Raw genomic sequence first — 21,412 nt, forward strand, 5'->3', positions numbered from 1 at the left:
AAAATACTAAGAGACTGTGTCCCCAGAAAATTCATCCATTGAAATCCTAACCTCCAAAGTGATCGTATGAGGAGGTGGGGCCTTTTGGGAGGTGACTAGCAATGGGATGAGTGCCTTTATAAAAGAAGTCAAAGGGAGCCTATTTGCCCCTTCCACCTTGTTCTCACACAGAGAGAAGGCTCTATCCATGAGTCAGAAAGCAGGCGCTCACCAGACACTGAATCTGTTGGTACCTTTGATCTTGGACTTTCCACTCTCCAGAACTGTGAGAAATACATTTCCACTGTTCAGAAGCTCCCCAGTTTATATTTTGTTATAGCAGCCTGAACAGACTAAGACACAAATCATAAAATTACTAAAAGAAACCACAGGACAATTGTTCTTATAGTCTTGTAGTGTGGAAGGGGCTTCTAAGTATGATACAAAATTCAGAAGACATAAAAGAGATGACTGAATACATTTGACTATGTAAAATAATTTTGTAAAGAAAACCTGCATAACAAAAACCACCATTAGCCAAATAAAAGAAAAGTGACAAATGTCAGATCAAAGACAAACGTATCATTTTCCTAATATATAAAAAGCTCTTACAAATATATAAGAAAAAGACCAATAAAAGAATATGACAAAGTATAAACACATTTAAACATGTCTATTGTCACTTGTAATAAAATAAAAGCAAATCAAAACTGCACTTAAGGGTCATTTTCCACCTACCATATTAACAAAGATAAAGTTTGAAAAGCGCATTGCACTGGCAGAGTTTATGGAAAAAGAGGCATTCTTACACATTGTTGATGGGTCTGTAAATGGTTTAGCCTCTGTAGAGGACGAGTGGTAAAATCTAGAAAAATTATAAGCATAGTACCCTAGCAATTCCACATTTAGGAATTTATCCTACAGATATATTCACATACACTTGAAATCAAGTCTATTCAAAGTTATTAATTATAGCAGACTGCATGAGAGGAAAAGACTAGAAACAACCTAAAAGTCCTTCAAAAGGAGACAGACTCAATTAAATAGTATGCAGAGGTGAAAAAGAGTAGAAAGCCTTTAGGTATAGATATGGGAAGATCTCCAAAATAGTTTGCCAAGAAAAAAAAGCCAAGGTGTAGAACAGTGTGAATTACATTATACCACTTGCACAGATATCATATTATAAATACTACGGATCTGCTTCTGTCTCTCACGATGCTGCTTCTGGGTGTAGTGCCAGTTACATCCCAGTGCCTGATACAGAGCAGACATACCATCACTATTTGATGAAAGCAAATAAGTTAACGAATAAAGGAGATAAATGTTTAAGGAACACACTTAAATACTTGGCCCATCCTCTAAACGCAATATCAGATCTTTTTATACATGAATACAGAAAGGCAGTAGCTGAATCCTGGATCTCTAGTTCCAGGAAAATTTAAAATAAGTCCTTATATAGGACAAACAAGGATTGTATGAATTAGTTTACATATTTATATATAAAGATTACTTTTCAATAAGCATAAGTTCATTTTTCTATGTTCACTTATTCATATCCCTGGGGTCAAGGGAAGCATGCAGCAGGATTCTGTTTTCAACCTTTTCCTCAAAAATCTCTCAATGGCTTGGGAGAAAATGTCTAAAGTCTTTATTCTGGCAACTCAGGTTTTTACAACTAGAAAAGCAACGGAGGCAGCCGGCTTCTCTCTCGTATCAACTCCCTACTCTCACCTGTTACTCTTGGCATGAAAATCTTTGTCACATCCACAATCACTGCCACTTACTGAGCATCTCCTATGTGCCTTGACTGTGTTCCACGCTCAGTGTGCATCTCAACCACATGCACATGAGAGGTAAGCTATAATATAATTGTCTCCACTTTACAGATACAGAGATAGGCTTAAAGAAAGGAAGTACTGTGTCCCAAGTGCTATAGCAATGATGATGTTGTTTCTTAGGAGGTAGTCTATTTAGTTTTCTACACTGAATGTTCTAACAATAGATAATGTCTTGAATAACTTGGACTGTGAATGAAATATTAATATAAACTAATAATAGGTCTGTGAGAGACAACACAAGTGAAATCCTAGAACACTGCTTCTTTATCTGCTTAGGAATCCCTAAAAAGCCCCTGCTTTGCGTATTTAGGTGGCAGAAGAGCACCCACACTCAGCAAGGCGATAGGACACCTATCTGCCAATTACCCAGTGAGTGTTTCTCACCAAGGCCCATTCATCGCAGGTTATCAGAAGATTCTTCAGTTATTCATTATTATAACCAACTCATTCTCTCCACGGTAATTATCTGTGAGCAACATATCATGCTGCCCTTGGAACCATCAAACTGACATATGATTAAATAGCAGAGGGCTCTGCAGTTAAATTTAAAACCACTCTCTTACACTTCAACTCACACATCACATCAAGATCTGTTCAGCCACGAGAATATTCCAGTTGACCAACACCAATGGCTGGTGAGAGACTATTTCGTTACTTCATGCTCCCATGTGAGACGGGTGGTGGTTATGTTCTCAAAACCTGAAAAAGGGATTTTTCCCAGGACCTAAAGTAAAAATTTGCCAAGCAATTCTATGTATGAAATCCTGCATTCATCCCAGGTTAAAATGTCTCAAGACTTGCTAATATTCACCATTATGTCTTCAAAATTATGGGTGGAATCTCACTAGAAATAGTACATTCCATCAAAACACTGTGAGAATCACACACTTTACACCTTTCACTGAAAAAAGTTACTTAAAAGCATAAATTATTGTACATACAGCTCCGTATATGCCAGTAAGAGAGGTACTTATATTAACATGGCTACCAATCTACAAAAATGCTGGATGAGAACGTCAATCTGCAAGCTGGAGTTAAAACATGAGTCTCACTGTTCTTGGACTGGAAAAGGAGCCACACCAGGAGTTTGAGATCAGTCTGAGCAACATAGTGAGACCCCACCTCTGCAAAAAAAAAAAAAAATTCAATTAGCTGTGCATGGTGGTAGGCCTGTAGTTCTAGCTACTTGAGAGGCTGAGGAGGGAGCATCACTGGGCCCAGTAGTTCAAGGGTGCAGCAAGCTGCAATCACACCACTGTACTCCAGTCTGGGAAACAGAGCGAGACCCTATCTCTTCTTCTTTTTTTTTCTTTTTTTTTTTTTTTTAAGGAACCATAGAGGCTCTTCAAGGGAAAATTTATTCCCATCCCCAAACACAGTCTACAATTTCTAAAACTAAAGTTCTTATGCAAAAATAATTCTATAGAACCCACTATGTTTGCACGAAGTGTAAATTAGAAAAAAAAAAAAAAAAGCTTTTTGTCTATCCCCAATAAAATAGTTGTACCCAAAGTAAAATCAGCTGATTTCTGGGTTCTGTTTTATTTTTCACATCTATTTAGCTTAATATTACTCTGAATCTAGAGTAAAATGAGAGAGCAGCAAATATTAAAATCATCAAAATCCTCCACAAAAAAAATGTCGAAAGCATTTGTTATACGTAACAACAATGTATTTTCCTCAGACAAACATACACAGTGCCCACTCATTTTTAAATAGGTCCCCCCAAAATGTAGACTTCACAAAGATGTGACACTACACAGTGTGGAAATTCCAAGCACCTTCACCCAATATGGAAGAAAGTCCAGTCACAGGATGGTTGGGTTTCTCTACAACCTGAGCTAGTATTGTGCATAATGAAGTGATAGAATTCACATTTCATAAGAAAAGCCATATAAAGGAAATAAGATATTATTTTTCTAGAAAGTGATTTATAATAATACTAAGAAACTATTTTTTTAAATTCCTTCCCCTTCTCAGCATTTACAGAAAAAGCTAACACATCTTGAGAGATTTACTATTTGCTGATATTCATCCATATGGTAGTACCAACCAAAAGCCAAGAGGATGAGAGAAACAGGGAAAAGAAAAGGTTTTAGAAAAAAAAAAAAGTACAGATGAATGATTAACTCTTACCGACTTGGTATCTCTTATTCTGGGTCATGACTTATAAGGCCTACCTGGGGCCATCCTTCAATTTTGCTGTTGTTGTTTCTCCAAGGAATCTCAGACACACACTGAACTATAAAACGTTTCAACTACAGTGCCAATTGTGTTCCTTCAGTCTTCACCATTCTAGAGGGTATAGAGTGCCAGAACAGCAACTCAAGCAAAAGCTAAAGAGAAAAACAACATGCAGCATAAAGCCCTAGTTCTATAAATCGGAGCTGGCTCAGCAAAACATTAGTCATGGCAAGTCCCACCAAGGCTAGGATCGGAAAGGTGTAAGCACCAATCCCTGGCTACGCCTCAAGGGTTCAAAACCATTTCTAAATATAGAACCCACTTTATGTCTGCAGGAGTTATAAATCAGGGAAAACAACTTTTTTCCATCCCCAATAAAATATTTGCACCTAAAGCAAAATCAGCCGATTTCTGGCTTTCTACCAGTTTTGCTTGGGCATAAAATTTTCTGACACTTCACCAGAAATGTCAGCATTAGAATAAGGCAGCTTTAAAGAAGGATATAATTTTCTGACCTGTGGATAACCCCTTCAACCCCAACAGGAAAAAGGGGGAAAAGCACACCTGAAACCTGGTTTTTCCAATTATTAGTATAACTGATACAAATTATTTTTCTTAGTGGCCAAATTCTTCCTTACAGGAAGTATTGGTCTCTGAATTTGGTGAGGGGAGGGATCATGTCAGTTTTACTGCTATATCCCCAACACCCAGCCAGCACAGACTCTCACTTGCAGAAGGATTTCAATGAATAGTCAAGGAAGAAGAGGAAGGAGGAGGGGGAGGAGAGGGAGAGAGAGGAAAAGAAGGAAATAGGGATTGAAAGTGAGAGAAGTTCAGATGAAGATCTTTTCCCCTCTCCTTTTATTTCTGTCTTCATTTTTCTTGAACTTACAAGCATTCGACTTGATAGAAAACCAATGACATCTTTTCTCAGGGCCTCATGTCTGAAGCCAGACATGACATCCAGTGTAGACAACTCAGCTTCCAGAAAGAGCCCCAGCAACTCTCCATGGGGACAAAGAAAAGAAAGAGTGGGGTGAGACAAACCCAATGGTTGCTCCTTTGTTCAACAGCATTAAAGAGCATGACTGCCGCCTCCCATGTGTGGCACAACACACTGTACAGAGCCCACACAGTCAGTGGGCTCAGGGAAGGCTTTGGTGGAAGAGGCAACTCCTGCCCTGGCTTTAGAGGGGCAGGATCTGTACAGGAAGAACCAGAGGCATTCAATCTCAGCATAAAAGGAGAGGCTGGCTGGAGAGGGGAGATAAATCTCAGAATGAAAGGAGAGGCTGGCTGCACAGCTGGCAGGACAGTTTTTCCCCAAAGTGCTTCATGGAATATATTCAATGAACACCATATTCAGAAAACCGAGGATTGAACAGAACTGCACAGGTTTCCTTACTGCAGACCTTCTCAGTGCTTTTACTATGCAACTGGAGCAGAAGTGGCAAAAGATCCCATCTGTAAATCAAAATGGATTGATTTAGGGGGTAAAAAAACCAATGCCTTTTCTTACTAACTGTATAAATTTAGCACAATGTTCAACTTTGATGAACACGTTTCCTCTTACCTAATATGGAAAAAAAATAATAGTCCCAACCTCAGTTGTTATGAGAAGTGAACATTAAAAAGAACACTAAAAAAAAAAAGTAATTAATTCAGTGCTGGCACTTAATTAACACCAAATGTATTACTGTTGCTGCTTCTGCTCCTGTTGTTTCTATTATTATTATTGTTATCAACCTATGTCATGAATATAAAAAAGAAAAATGTCACACCGCATTTCTTAAATGGTTTGGTCAGTTTTTCGTCAGGTATTTTTTGGAAATGCTGGGCCAGCACACAGTGCCTAGCCTATTACACAGTAGGCACTCACTATATATTTGTGGAGGGAATGGGGCAAAATACTGACCCTAGCAAAGAACAAATTGCAGGACACTAAAGGGATGCTCTGGCAAAGGTGTTTTTCATTATTTATTTGGGCAACAGACCTCTGAGTTCTGGGAGGAGTGACTTCACCTTTTGCTAGAAGAATGAGGGATTGAAAACACAGTGTTCAGCTTTGGGGAAACATCACAAAGAGTTTATTTTGGTACAAGTGTTTGAAGTGACTCTATAATAACGAGCTCACGCCTGCTGCCAGGCGCCAGCCATCAGCTTGAGCCTGCTTGCAGGGCAGTGCACGCGGTCCATCACCAACAGCCCCTTCATCAAACAGGTGATGCCCATGTGCAGGCAGGATCCCAGAAGACTTGCTCCAAAGATGGCTCCCTCTTCTCCAAGAGGGGACACTGAGGCCCAAACAAGGAATCAGCTGACCTGGGATCCAAAGTGGGCTGAAGACCGAGAGGGCCTGGGAGAAGTCTATGTCTTCTGGTTTTACTTGGTTGATTCTCTGGCAGGACTTTGAACTGAATCCCAAAGGATACTTTTTATTTTTTTAGTCAATTGCTGCATACATTTTTGGAGATAACCTCATCTGTCATAAGTCACATGCTAATCTCACAAATAGTTACTAGAAATATAAAAGTTTCACGTAAACCCTCCCCCGAGTACAATACAGAGATCCTGACAAACCTCTCCAGCTTCCCACCTGTTTGTGTATGAAGACATTCTTGACAGACATGGAGTTTACTGGAGTGGAGACCTGAACAGATTTGGAATATGATGCTTGCATTTTACCAAACCCAGTACTTAATATCTGTCCACCTGAATTTAAGCATGAGAGTCTACATAGAGTTTGAAGAGGAAATGAAGTCATCTGAAAAAGTAGTTGGAGGGAGAACTTCCCATGGAGTCCACAGCACACAGAAAAGTCTCAAGAGTTACTGCAGTTTCCAAACTTCAGATTAGGAGGTGGGGATGTGCAGGGCAAACCATAAACTATGGTAAGAAAGACTAGATACAATTTTTCTAAAATACATGATATGTGTATACACATACACACATATATATACATATATGCACACACATACATATGTATCTCAACTGTATGCCATATAAAGAAAGTACATAGTCAGAGATCCTGCATTCAGTTCAATTATTACATTTTATCTTATTTTAACTGGTAAACCTGGAAGTCATTGGGAATAAAGCACAGTTAATTCTGGAAACTTGTCAAAGTTGAACAAAGCTTCTAGGACTCTAAAGACTTTTTGTTTCCAAGAGGGCAGAGCTGCCCAATTCTTCCTACACTAAAAATATAACCAGAGATGATTATTCACAATGATTGCACATTTTCATCATGTTCATTTGAGGCAACAGGTTAAATGATATTGGAATGATATGAACCTTGATGTAACTCCTATAGTTCATCCAACTAGATTTGGCATGTGCATTTTGCCACATCCTATCAACACACCCTGCCCCTTGTCCAGAGAACCACTGGACATCCATCACCCCTTCCAGCCCTGTCTTCTGAGAGTCAGAGTTCATGTTCTTTCACCATGAAATAGGAAAAAAAAAACAAAAAAACTACCACACAATAAGTTCCTAGAGCATAAAAAACCACAGTAGTGTATAGGTAAAAAACTAAAGGCCCTGACAGGAAGCTTGAGGTGTGGGAGCAAAAGGGATCCCTGGATCTCAAGTGCTTCAATATTAAGAGGTACAGGTTAGGGCAGCAAAGGGAAGGCAAAAGGAGGGGGATACAGGCAGGCAAGGAGAAAAGCTTGAAGCTTCATTAAATGAGTGAATCAAAAACTTGGAGAAAAGGTTTGGATGCATGTTTCTAAGCCTTCCCCATCCCACCCTTCCCTACCGCCCATTATGATGTCTGTGTTTCTGCACACAGATGCACCAGATTTGTTCTGCTCCAGAAAGTAAATTAAGAGTCATTAAATTTGAGAATAAGAGCAGTTCTCTGGGGGCCATGCTTTTAATCTCTGATCAGATCTCTTGGAACTTTTGAGAATGACGCTTTCCTGCACCGCGATGAAGTTCAGGCAGTTCTTGGGGGATACGCAGTGTGGTATGTGAGAGTGGCAGAGAAGTATTCAAGGACTATGAGCCACCAGGATTGGAAGCCAGCAGTGGGACAAAATCAGTAGATGAGCAGGTTTGTGTATAAAGACATGCCTTGTTTTGAAATAACTTGGTACTGTAGTCAATGGATTGGCCTGGTGGTTTGGGTGATGGGGCAGAATAAAGGGTTGCAGACCCTGTGTACAGAGAAGAAAATAATTATCGCTTGCCTCTCAATAGAGCAACTATACTGACTGCCACATTGATGTGATGCTTTCTTTTTTTGAAGTTTAGATAGCCTCAAATCCTAGAATGAGCATCCTTTAGTAAACTCATTGATTGAATGATAAAGAAATCACTACATATTACTATGTTTTATTGGAAAGAGAAGTTGTCCTTGACTTAAGGAAGAAGAAATTATGGGCTTGGGCCTCCTACATTGGAGGAATCAAGCCTGGGATGCATTTTCAGACAAAACGCCCATTTCATTTCTTAATATTGGGGTACACACAGTCAACAATGAATCAGGTCTTACACTTGGTTCCATATGCTATGCCCTAGGTAATTAAAGTATGCCTTATGGATAATAAAATTGAAGTTAGAAAGTTAAAACCAAAACAATGTCAGGAAATAACATGTGTGTACAATATGTTACTAACACATTGATAATTTTCAAAAGTGACTTTTTAAACAGTATTATACATCTTTCAGAACACAGTGATTTATTAAATGAAAAGTCTGAACAGTTTGCACTGTTAAATTTAGCTTTTAAGTTGCTGTGTCATGGGCAGATATTTTGTTCTCCTAGGTTAAATTCAGCATCCTGCATTATGTTTTTATCCATGGCTCCACGTTGTATCATCCTGCAGTCAATTTTCTGAACTGCTCAGGAGAAATGCACTGGGGAGTTATCATGAAAATTTCTCTCATGGATTTTATAATCCAGAAATAGAATTAAATAATCCAACACTGACTTATTTCCATCTTTTTCCTTGCCTTTTCCCACCTATACATCCTTTTCATAAAATAAACCTTCCCAAGGCATGGAATGAAATGAGCGGGGGGAAATGCAGTGGCCCGAGGAAAACCATTTCAGAAATGTGTTTGTTAAACAAGTGCAAGCCATAAATTGAGCTTAGGAGGGAAAGGCAGTTAGAAGAAAAACTGAAATTACTGACCTGAGAGTCAAGCTGATTGGAGCAAGGGTGAAAGCAGCAATTTGGAGGATAAGCAGAAAGGAAAAGGGATAGCAAAAGAGAATAAAAGGAAGGAAATGCATTAGTTTTAAACATATAGCCAACAGATGTTATATCAGCAGGTTTATAACTAAACGAAGCAAACTTTTATCTTATATTACCCCCAAAAGCCCTGGGCACACACTGTAAGCTGTTGTATTAAATATCATACCAAAGAAACTGGTAGCTGCTCTGATATGTATAATTACAAAAAGCACTGATGTGAACCAGAGGTGTGCTCCCACAGTACAATGACAGCATCAGCCCTTCTCTGGAGGAATATTTATAGAGAAAGTTCCTATCTGTGTGCATATAAAATTTTATTATTTAATAAACTGAAATGGAAACTACTAAGGTATTAGACCTGGGTAAGTGCTCATGTCAGAAAGATTTTTATTTGAACCAGTAAGTTGGATGGTTATATCCTATGAGATATTTTTCCTTCATCCTTGAAAACCAAAAGGAGCTGAGCAATTTGGCTTTCGGTTCAAAGATTTCCATTTTAGATGCTTACAGAGCACTGCACATAGCAATGATCAAAGACCCCCTGAGGAGGGCTTTTGGTGGTGTGCCACCCACCTATCAGCTTCCGCAGCAAGGACAGAGTAACTTTCCAAGCTGAGAGTGATTTTTTTCAGTCAGAAATACGAAGTTCCGACTTCATTACTGAAAATATCAAGTTATAATACTTTTTAATTTGTTTGTATAAAAATATCTAGCATGTCCGTCTCATTGGTTAAAACAATAATCTCTATTGTCAAGCAAAAAAAATAAAAACAAGCAAACAAACAAAAAACCATATTCATCTTCCAGGCTACTATAGGAGCACATAGTGGACATTCATTTTGTTGATCTGTAAAATGCCCTTTGCAAAAACAAAGTGGATAAACAAATACTTTTCCAGCTTTCTGCTCAATGGGGCCCCACCATTCCATACTATAAAAAAGTAGTTTTAGGTATTTCACATGGGAAGGAAAAACAAAACAAAATAAAATAAATCCTCAGGATAAAGCTTAAGCTAGAACATTTCAAATGAAAACAGTGTTGATTACAATGATACAACTGAAAGAGAAAATTTAAGATTAACCACACGGGGAAAGTGTTGATTTGATAATCCCTTGTATCTGAAATCCCCCTGCAGAGTGTTTTGTGATCATAAATGCGCAACTGATCTAAAATGAGAGTTATGTCAGGACACGATCACTGTGGGGACTTTGGCAACACTGGCCCAAGCTGCCATTTCAAATCCTTCTGGATCAAAGGTAATTAAATCAAGGTCTGTGGCCAAGCCTTAGGAAATCCTAAACTGAAATAGCAAGCACACATTTCAGATGTAGTTGCCTCTTTCAAGGGCTCCCAGTTTTCATCAAATTCTCAAAGGTGTCTGTGATGTCCGTGACCTTCCCCAAAAAGTTGCTAGGAATGGCATATAGCCATCTGCCACTTGTTTTCAAGAAATTCTTTCAAATACATTAACAAATGTAAGTGAAAATTACTCGGCAAGAAACATTTATATCAAAACAAATAAAACTGGCATCAAGTTTTTTCCATGTACCATGAAACTTCTAAAAGATATTATCATAATTTAAAAATAATAATAATGCTCAAGTTTACATTTTGAATGGAGCTCTGAAAGGCATCAAGGAAATTATGTTAGTACATTATTGAGCAAATCAGAAGAAAAAATAACATTCTCTTCCTCAAACTTAGATAAGGCTCTTTTAGGCATCTAAAATGATTTCTCAGTGTCCAAATGTCTGGTGATATTATTTCTCCAACCAGATAATTAAGTGGAAGGCTGTTTTCCATTCTGATGTTATGTCTTACGAGTGGAACCCCCAGGGATCCAGCCTCCTCTCCGCATTGGGGAGGTATGTGATTGAGGGCTCAATTTGGGCATTCTCCATCCTCTAGACAAATACCAACAAAATCCCTAACATATTTAAGATAATTACATGAAAGGTCACCCAAACTGATTCCTTCCCATGGGCGGGATGTGAGAAATATAGTGGCAGCAGGTCTTACTTGACAGATTCTATTAACCTCTCTCTTTCCCCTAAGTCACCAAAGGATTAATTCTGAAACTCTAAATAAAACTCAGAGACCTTGATGGGCACTGACACAGAAGCACTGCATATTTCACTGCCTCTAAGGTTTAATTAGACACTAGGTTCTGTAATATACGTGACATCTGACATTGGAGATGGAATAAAGACTTCAGCTGAATTTGGACCAACTCTCAGAGACTTGCTCAAGGCCCACCACCCACCTAGTAGCAAACTCCCCTGAGCTGCCTGCAGTCCAAGGCAGAAGCTCCCCACTGGGCCGTGCAAGAGTTTACAGGCATAACTGCACGTGGGACCACACTAGAGCAACATGCACTTTAAAAAGCAAAATCTTTAATGGCTGATGAGAAACACCACGCACATGGAATTTAAGAGGTAAATGCATTGTGTAAATGCCAGCCATGTGCTATCTGGAATGGGAAGATTAACAGAATAGAAAGTAAACACATACTGCCTTCTGAGAGAGGAGGGGGCCAGTGTCAAGGTTGTCTGAGTTATTCCTAACCCTGTACCTTTTGTTGCATACAATTGAAGTTCTGGAATATTTTAGAACATTTCCTCCTTTTAAAAGAGGTCCTTTCACTCTGGTAGGTCACATTACAAGCCAGAGACCACAAATCTATTTCAAGTTCAATTTTTGGTTTTCAAAATTACAAATTTAATTGCAAACATTTCTCCATGGCTCCAAAATGGAGATACATGTCACATTGCTAAGAACTCTTTAGTTGTCAATATTGTGAGGTATGAATTTTGTAGTTTTATCCAGCAAATGACAATATTGCCCAATTTGAAAAAGGTTGCTTGACAACTGGAAGAAGATGTTTTGGTCAGAATACACATGTAGCACAGCAGATAATGCTTCAGAAAGGCAGGCCAAGGCTGAGCCCTTTTTTTCCCAAGAAACTTCCCCTCTGAATCTCCACCCCCACCTCCTTAGGGGCCTGGGCTGGGGCTGAAGCTCAGACATTTCCCAGACAATGCTCTGCTGCTGGACGCAAGACACGGGCAGGCAGAGTACTGGGACAGACTCAGGTCCCACCACACGTTTTATGAATTACAGTGCCTGGGAGGCATCAGCTTTAAGGGGAGGCAAAGGCAGAGATAAAGAAAATGTGCAGAAAGTACATAAAGATAAATGCCTGTAAAATCACTGCTGCTTTAATGCATTCCATATTGAAGAAATAAAAATCTGAATATTCTTGATGATTTAAAGGCAATAGTGTCCAGCTAAGACCTGTTTGTCCAATTAGACCATTAAGCTGTTTATATGTAAATGTTTATAGTAGCTTGTCCTGATTTTCAATTACAGTTCTGGGGGGCTGGTTTAGCATAGAAAAAATGCCATCTAAGCGTGAAGCACATCACTTTCTCTCCTGTATGCTAATAAAGAGGTAGATCTCTTGCAGCCCAGCAGCAATGCCTGCTCAGGAAGGCTGTATGCTGGCTGCTTGACTGTTTAGTGCTGCTGTACTAGCTTCTTTCTTCTGGCCCATTAGCGGAAGGGATTGTTCTCAATGGCTCATCTGTCAGCCCTGAGTTTGAATCCTGATTAGATTCTTATGAGCTCTGCAACCTGGAGGAAGTTACTTAATCTGTATAAATCATAGTTTCTCATCTGTAAAATGAGAATAATGACAGTTTCTGTATTGTGGGTGAGACTAAAAGGTACACAGTATTGCACGTCAAGTGCTTCCCAGAGTACCTGGCACACAGTGAGCATAGAATATACATACAATATACATACCCTAGTATTACAAATAAAACTACTATAATTTTTAATATTATTATCTAGGGCATCCTCCACATAGCTCACCACTTCTCAGAGCAGTGGACTAGGAATCAGGAAACCCATATTACAGTTTCACATCTTTCTGACTACAGGCCCAATCTCAGGAAGGTCATTTAACTTTTCAAGATCTCAGTTTCCTAATCAATGAAAGAGACATGATCATAACTTTCCTGTGATCTCATGTCAGTTTTTCTAAGAAAAATTTTGGTTCTAAAATGTAGTTCCAAAATAGATCCATCTAAAATCACAGTGCTCCCCACTTTTTAAGAACCAGCAGACTAGCAGAACATCCTCACATTTTAAAATTAAAACAAAGCCCTTTAAGGATTCTATTTGGGATAGTTACCTCAAAAAAAAATGAAATCCTTGACTTTACTGCTAAAATTGGTCACAATGAATAAAAATCAGATTATCATCAAACTAATGCTATTATGAAGAGAAATATTAATTGATTTGGAATTTGAATGTACCAAATATTATACCGGAAAATGTTGAAATTTTATTGGAAATTAACCTACTTGTTTAATACAGAGACAAAGTTGAGATTTTTTTTTCTTTTCTTAGAGAGAGGAATCTTGACCCCAGGCTGGAGTGCAGTGGCTCATAATTTACTGCAGCCTTGAACTCCTGGACTCAAGTGATCCTCCTGTCTCAGCCTTCTGAGTAGCTGGGACCACAGGCACACATTACCATACCCGGCTAATTATTGTAGATACAAGGTCTCCCTGTGTTGACCAGGCTGGCCTCAAACCCCTAGGCTCAAGCCATCCTCTCACCTTGGCCTCCCAAAGTGCTGGGATTATAGATACGAGCCACCATATCTGGCCTTGATAATTTATTTGTTTTAGCATTTGTTCATAATGATATACATGTTCCACTTTACCTGGGGACCAATTGCTTGCAAAGCATCATTTGAATAGGTTGTTAGAGATTCACTCACTTCTAACAAGATTCAAGGCCATGAAAGGCTAAGGACAGATGATTGCTTGAGTCCAGGAATTGGAGACCAGCCTGGGTAACACAGTGAGACCTGATCTCTACGAAAGATTTTTAAAAATTAGCCAGGTGTAGTGGCGTGCACCTGTAGTCCCAGCTACTCAGGGGGCCGAGGCAGAAGGATCACTTGAGCCTAGAACTTCGAGGCTGCAGTGAGTTGTGACCATGCCACTGCACTCCAGCCTGCACAGCTGGCAAAAAGCAGAGGCAAAATTTGAACTCAGGTCTTTCTGTCACTGAAGCCCATGATCTTTCCACAAGATGATAGAGAGCTACTCTGTGTATGTCTTGAAGTCCTTTAGGGCCTCACAAGTGTCTCGATCAAAGCTGGCTAACATTCACAGGTTTATTCAAAATTTGGTGATCTCTTCCATATGGATTGAATCTGGGAAAGACAAATTCTGCCTTACTGCTGAACCAATAAGAAATCTGCAGAGGTTATGGAGTTATGTAGGATTTTTCAGAAAGTTTTTTCCTTACATGAAGTACAGGAAAAGACATTGATAGCAAGCTTATTTTTAGCATCCACACTATACATAAATACAATACGGATATGATTTATCTGAAAATCTAAATACTCTGATGCAACACTCCCTGTTTTTACACAGAATTTGCTATCATGCAGGACCTATTCAAGTATATGTATTTAAAAGGTCCTCTTAAGAGATAAACCTCCAGGATGAATTTGTCATGATGTGCCAAGAGACATCCAAAGGATATGAGCTCCTTCCTTCTTCCGCTATCTTGAATGAAGAATTCCCAACTATATTCTTCGGTTTTTGGTGTTGGTGGTGGTGTTGTTGTTGTTTGATCAAGACAAAACTAAACCACAAATATTTACCTGTGATGGAAAAGAACTGAGGTTTTGGGTAGTCAAAGCCCCAATTTCTTACACACTTCGCTGGAAAAACGCTAGATCATGGACATCACTCAAGAAAGTTGACCACTATTTTCTTCAACACTGAAGAAGTATATAATCCCTCAGAAGATAAGCCAATTGCATTCTTAGTATTCCACAGAAACGTCATCTTTCACAGGCCATATTCCTCATTTATGACTTGTTTCTAACTTGTAATATGAATGTACAGTCCAAATCCACCACAACCGGAGATGGGCAACCACGCAGTCCATGTTCTCTCACTGCCAACAATTTATATAACTGTAAAATTTACCTCTCCAGTTCTGCGATCTTCTTGTCCTTGTCATTCTTCTCATTCTCCACCTCCTTGAGGATCTCCAGCAACCGGTCCACTTCCGCTTGGGCCTTGCCACACTCGTCGCGGTAGTAAGACGCCTCTTTATCGAGCTGTTTTATTTGGTCTGCAAACTCAGGGTTCATCCTGGAGTCATCTTCAATATTATGTGCCTTCAACATTACATTTTTAAAGAATGTAGTTAAGACAACAATTTAGAACAATAGACAGTGCTGTCACCAATGGTCCAGAAATTAACTTTGGAGAGAAAATCACCACCAAGATTTATGGGTATATTGTCAGTGAAAAGGCAAAATAGAAAAATCACACATTTCAGCTACCTTAGAAGAATGCTGATTTTAAAATAATATTAGAGTTTCACAGGGGAGTTTCTTCAATTATTGATATTTTGTTCCATTAAATGTTGCTACTTTTAGCTTTTCTTTCCACCAAAAAGTAGGGTTAGATACTGTGATGTCTTTATTCCCGGTCATTTGATAAGCAGACCTAAGACAATTCAACTCCTCACAGTTAAGGAGGTGATTCATACAAAATGCTTCCATTTCCAATACAAAGACACCAAAACAACACAATATTGGATTATTTTCCAAGAACTATCAAGGGCACATGTAAAGCCAGATAACATATAAGAGACTGATTAACTAATAATTGAACATGTCATTCCACTGAGAAATTTCAGCAGGAAATATAGTTTGAAAGGAGGCTTGGAGGTGAGGAAGGGCTTTCCAGCTAACAGTTATACCCATAAATCCTCATTCTCTTAAATAAATTTAACCTAAACCAGGAGGAGGATGAGCTAATTCATGAACAAGTACACAGACAAGAATCTGCAAACACATGCATGGGTGGGTGGCAGCTTCACACACAAGAAAAGACACAGGCAACAACACAGCAACAACATTGCAGAATAATTTGCAGCCAAAGTATTTGTGGGTTTGTGTGTGAGAGAGTGCGTTACAGCTTTTTTTTTTCCCAAAATAAACTTTTGGCTGAAATATTCCCAGACAGATAGAAATAACACTGCACTGCAATGTTTTGCCTACCCCTTGTTTCCCATTATTCCTAATTGACTTCTTCAAAGAGCAGGCAGGGAAAAAACAAGTAGTTTATACAACAGTGCACATTCAACATAGAAAGTTCAGATAAGTCATATACGTATGTATCTCCAAAATCCATGGGTGATATAATCAAATGTTAACAATTTTTAAGGACTTAAGTTTTTCTGCTGTCTTGCTACATGGAGCAGATATTTATTGTGTTTTTATATACTTTTTTGAAAATTTCAGGGAAAAAACAAGGCAAGCAAGCTACAGCTACTGTGGGATTGAATGAATCATGCATGGTTAGAAAAATTAATACTAATACTACGGTTAGAAGGTTTGACAGTCTTTGCAATGATTTAATAGAAAAAAAATTCAAAAATTAGTATAAATAAAATAAATTTCATATGACAAAATAATCATTTTAGAAATAATATTTTTGCATGTAACATATTATTTAAGCATGAGGATAAAGGGGAAAAAGTTGCTTTCATGTTCTTAAACCTAAGATTTCCTTATTTAAGAAATAAACTCAATTACACAAAAAAAAAACAAGAAAAATATGTCAATTCAACACACTATCAGGTACTGGTTTATTCCCTTTTACCAACATTTTTCAGAAAACATTTATTTTCATTTATTTACTATGCACTCTGTGTTTCATTATAATAGATTATTAAACTTTTTCAGTACAATTAAAATAATCTGAAAGAGAATCCTGAGCTAACATACCTTTAGGAGTATATTTATCTAATAATTTCATTTTAAGCTTAAGTAATGAATAAATTTCCTAATCTCCACTTTAAAAATGTAGAGCAGAAATTCTATTTTAAAAGAAAGTAACTACTCCATATACCTGCTTCTATTTGTGACAATATGAATCATTACTTTTGTTACAGAAAAGCATTTAAAATACACAGCTTTTAAATTGCTAAAGAAAAACTTCGTGTTAACCTCTCTTTCATTTTCATACTGTATTACCATTCTTTTACAGCAGTTAAAAACCTTTTCATGACATTTCTTGAACTATCCAAACAAGGCTATTAAGATTTTTAAAAAAGAATTAATGACTGAGTAATGAGCAGCTGGAAGCCCTCAAAACAAATGAATACGTATATTTTGATTGCCTGTTTCTTAGGACAGTTAAAACTCCTTTCCTGATGCTAATTTTTAAAAGTTCACAAATAGCTAGCAGTTAGTTGCTGTGGCTTATTTTGGTTGTTTTTCTTATTATTATAGTCCGTTTTTAATAAGTGGGTACAGGATTACTAGTTGCAAGACCAAGATTCTAAATCCAGTCCTGCATCTTATATTTACAAAAGATTAGGCAAATTAATTAGCCTAAAAACCATGAAAACTACAAAATGACAAACACGGGGGGAGATATTACTCACTTTTGTTTTTATTATAATTATTATTTCATAATATGCATCCCAGAAATACAGCTTGTTACTCAGCTAAGTTAATAGATTTATTTGATTTTCATTGACAAGATACTACATACTCCCTAAAAAAAAAAAAAAAAAAAAAAAAAGCCTCCCTGATAGGTTTACAGAGACAGCGTAGTCTGCTAGAGATAGGTATGTACACATATTCCTTATTTTAGCTCCATGAAGAAAAGATGATTATTCAACGCCACTTTTCAACAGTGGGTGAAATCAGATGAATTCATAGTCTTTTCAAACAAGTAAGTAAGTATGGTGAAAGGACTCATGGGATGTTTAGAAGCACAGAAAGCCTAGGAAAAAAAGTGCCTGAATCTAGACTGTACCACTGTTGACATCATTTGATGCTGAAGTTAGGTCATGTCATTAGAATGAAGACCAGAGCCAAGTTTACGACTGGCCTGGTATCTATTATTAACAGAACACACTTCAAGTGCTAATGAGACTTTTAAAATAAATAGACAACCTCGGCCGGGTGCGGTGGCTCACGCCTGTAAACCCAGCACTTTGGGAGGCCAAGGTGGGTGGATCACAAGGTCAAGAGATCGAGACCATCCTGGCCAATATGGTAACACCCCATCTCTACTAAAAATACAAAAATTAACTGGGCATTGAGGCACACGCCTGTAGTCCCAGCTATTCAGGAGGCTGAGGCAAGAGAATTGCTTGAACCCAGGAGGCGGAGGTTTCAGTGAGCCAAGATCATGCCACTATACTCCAGCCTGGCGACAGAGCGATACTCCATCTCAATCAATCAATCAATCAATCAATCAATCAAATGAATAGACAACCTCAAGAATACCTGTGAGTTAAATCTCTCTATCTCTATATCAATATCTACTGATTTTCAGGCAAAAGAACTTATGTCAAGCCACTTTCAATCTTGGTGCCAGAATTGTTGGGAGAGCTATTAAAATGTCATTTAAATGTTTTTAAATCAACAGAAAGCTTTAAGAAAAAGTCATATAAAGATGACAGGGAAACCGCTGCTTCTTGGATCATTACTAGGGTCCATGTAAAGACTCAATGAAAGAGAGTTTCACATGACTGGGAAGGCTGGTGAGTCCCCAGCTAAGCTTAGGTATTGGAGGCAAAAGCCTCTAAAGAATTTACAAAAGATATTGTACATAACCAGCTCTATTCAGCCTGAGTCACAACTTTTCAGAGGATGGGCTGAAATTTTTAACTAGTAACCAGCATGAATGTGTTCTACCATGATCTACAGACATGAGTGATTCTACACTAAATAAAATAGTGGAGGAAATTGAGCTTATTAAAGCCAATGCTTCCTTCAAAATTATGAGTCCTGAGCTTCCTCCAAAAATGGAATGAAATAAGCACTTTATTTGTATTTAGGCAATATTCTCGCCTTTTCAAATAACAACATGAGTTCTTTAATCTGACTAGCAGCTCCCGATAGAGATCAAAAGTAGGTAACAGACTTGGATCTATCATACTTTAGACACTACAGCGAAAAAAGCAGATTTGAATAAATCATGATCACAGTAAATTCCTGCCATGGCATTCTAATGCATTCAAGACATAAATTGAAAATGCACAGTAATATTTTTCCTTAAGAATATGTTGGTTTGCAATTAGCTCCCCAACAAGGTCTGGGAAGGCTTGCCCTTTCTATACTTCTAAGGAACATCAACTTTGTCCTCCTATTTTCATTAGTCAGGAATTTACCTCTTAAAAACACAAATTGGTGTGAGTTTTCTTTTGATGGTTTCAGATCTTATTTACCATGAATATAGCAAGCTCATCGTCACTTTCAAGGACATCCACCATCATTAAAACTAAAGGAATATCAATAAGCATTCTTTCATTAATATAGAGATTTAATTCCACTGATTAAACAGGTCAGTTTAAAGGCAAATCCAGGTATCCGATTCTGCTCAAAAATATTTCTTAAAACATTTAGAGCAACTCTCAAGCATCTTATAGAAACACAAAAAAATGGGAAAAGGACATTTCAGAAATGTCTGCATCGCATACTACATCAGTAAGTTTTGAGGGACTCCCAATTATATTTCTTGTATTTCCATATGTAAGGAAATGTCCCCGCAAATGGGAATAACCAAAACAAACTCTGGAGTCTCACTGATGTGGGCAGGCCTCTGGGTTTTGATGTGAACTGACTTTGAAAGCCTAGATCAGGCATTAAGAGGACTCTGACCATGGCTTGGGATGAGCAGTATATTAACTTATAGTTATAATAACCTAGTAGTTATTTTAGTGAAAGAATTTATAACTACTTCAGGAAATAAGGCAAAACTTCAGATTAATACTATATGTAAATGAAAGTTAAGAAGCCAAAAATGGCTAAAGCCAAACTATGGGGTTGTCAAGTATCAAAATCATACGTCTATTTACATTTAATCTTCTAAAGACTGGTCATTGATTATTTCCAATAAAATGGCAGTTCATCAATCCAGATCCCTAGAAAGGAAAGTATTAACTTTGGTCCAGAAACCTGCTGTGAAACAAGGCAGGGAACATTCAATTATTACATTATATAACACGTTCCCTTTGAAATAAACCCTACCAATTTTAATTAAAAATCATTTCCCTCAAAATAAACAAATAATTAATCATGACCATAAAATAAAAGCAGAATGTTAACGAATGTATTTGATGACTTTTCTTCCCTGCTGTTTCTGGGTTTTAGCAATAATTTGCTAAATTTAGGCAGTGTAGAAATATGATTTCGATTGTGGCATGTTGGTGGTTTAATGTCCATTGACAGCGCTTTAATATTCCTTTCATATCTTAACAGCAGAACAGGGTATAGAAACTATTTTGAAAATTATATTTGACTACAGTCTTCTAAAAGAATTTCAATCTTCTCATAATTCTAAGTTATAAATAAAATATTACATTTTAAAAGAAAATTTTTAAGGTGATTATTGAGTTATAATATTTATATTATATATTATATATGTTATATATAACATATTATAACTCTATAATAGACTGATATAACTCTATTATAGACTGATGAAACATACATATTATTGTTTAGAATGAAGAACCAAGGGAAGAAAAAGAACCCAACTGAAGATAACCTGCATAGTGTTTCTAATAATAAGACAAAACTCCAGGAGTAGAATGATAGTTAAGCTGCAGAAAGGTTACAAAAAAAAATTACAATATCAAGGCAAAACTTTAGGTTCCTAATTTAGAAAATTAAATTTCATTTAAAATATATCAATACCAGGCATCATTGCTGAGCCTAAATAATACATTTGGAAACTAATAATGATGTATTTTGAAATGTTATACATCTTAATTCTGTTTTTTTTTTTTTTTTTTTTTTTTTTTGTGTGTGTGTGTGTGTTTTTTGTTTTTTTTTTTTTTTTGGTAGAGATGGGGTTTGCTATGTTGCCCAGCCTGGTCTCCAACTCCTGAGCTCAAGTGATCCTCCAGCCCTGACCTCCCAAAGTGCTGGGATTACAGGCACAAGCCGCCACACCCAGCCCCTATATATCTTAGTTCTAAAGGAAATTATTCACTCACAATTCAAGCTAACTGCATTCAGAATATTCAAAAATTTGTGTATTAAAACAACCACACCAAAAAAATTATTTTCATAGATGGAACAAATAGGATATGTATAAATAAATATAAATAAATATTCTTATGTCTCTCTCTCTTTCT

The 21,412-nt window shown here is 37.5% G+C and overlaps 1 protein-coding gene across 21 annotated transcripts in view; it reads right to left on the bottom strand.

Annotated features, from left to right (window-relative positions):
- ERC2 (ELKS/RAB6-interacting/CAST family member 2) overlaps positions 1-21,412 on the bottom strand; it is a 960,157-nt gene that overhangs the window by 468,521 nt on the left and 470,224 nt on the right. For 13 of the 21 annotated variants that reach the window (XM_017006156.2, XM_047447950.1, XM_047447952.1 and 10 more), the window contains one exon: positions 15,226-15,419. The exons of 1 other annotated variant lie outside the window; for it this stretch is intronic. In XM_017006156.2, coding sequence (XP_016861645.1) covers positions 15,226-15,419 — 194 coding nt within the window. Of the gene's footprint in view, positions 1-9,145; positions 9,158-15,225; positions 15,420-21,412 lie in introns of all 21 variants that reach the window. 7 more of the 21 variants (NR_132749.2, XM_017006151.2, NM_015576.3 and 4 more) reach the window with 1 other exon arrangement.

The sequence above is a fragment of the Homo sapiens genome, chromosome 3 (genome assembly GCF_000001405.40).
Source record: "Homo sapiens chromosome 3, GRCh38.p14 Primary Assembly".
In the NCBI taxonomy this organism is placed as follows: domain Eukaryota; kingdom Metazoa; phylum Chordata; class Mammalia; order Primates; family Hominidae; genus Homo; species Homo sapiens.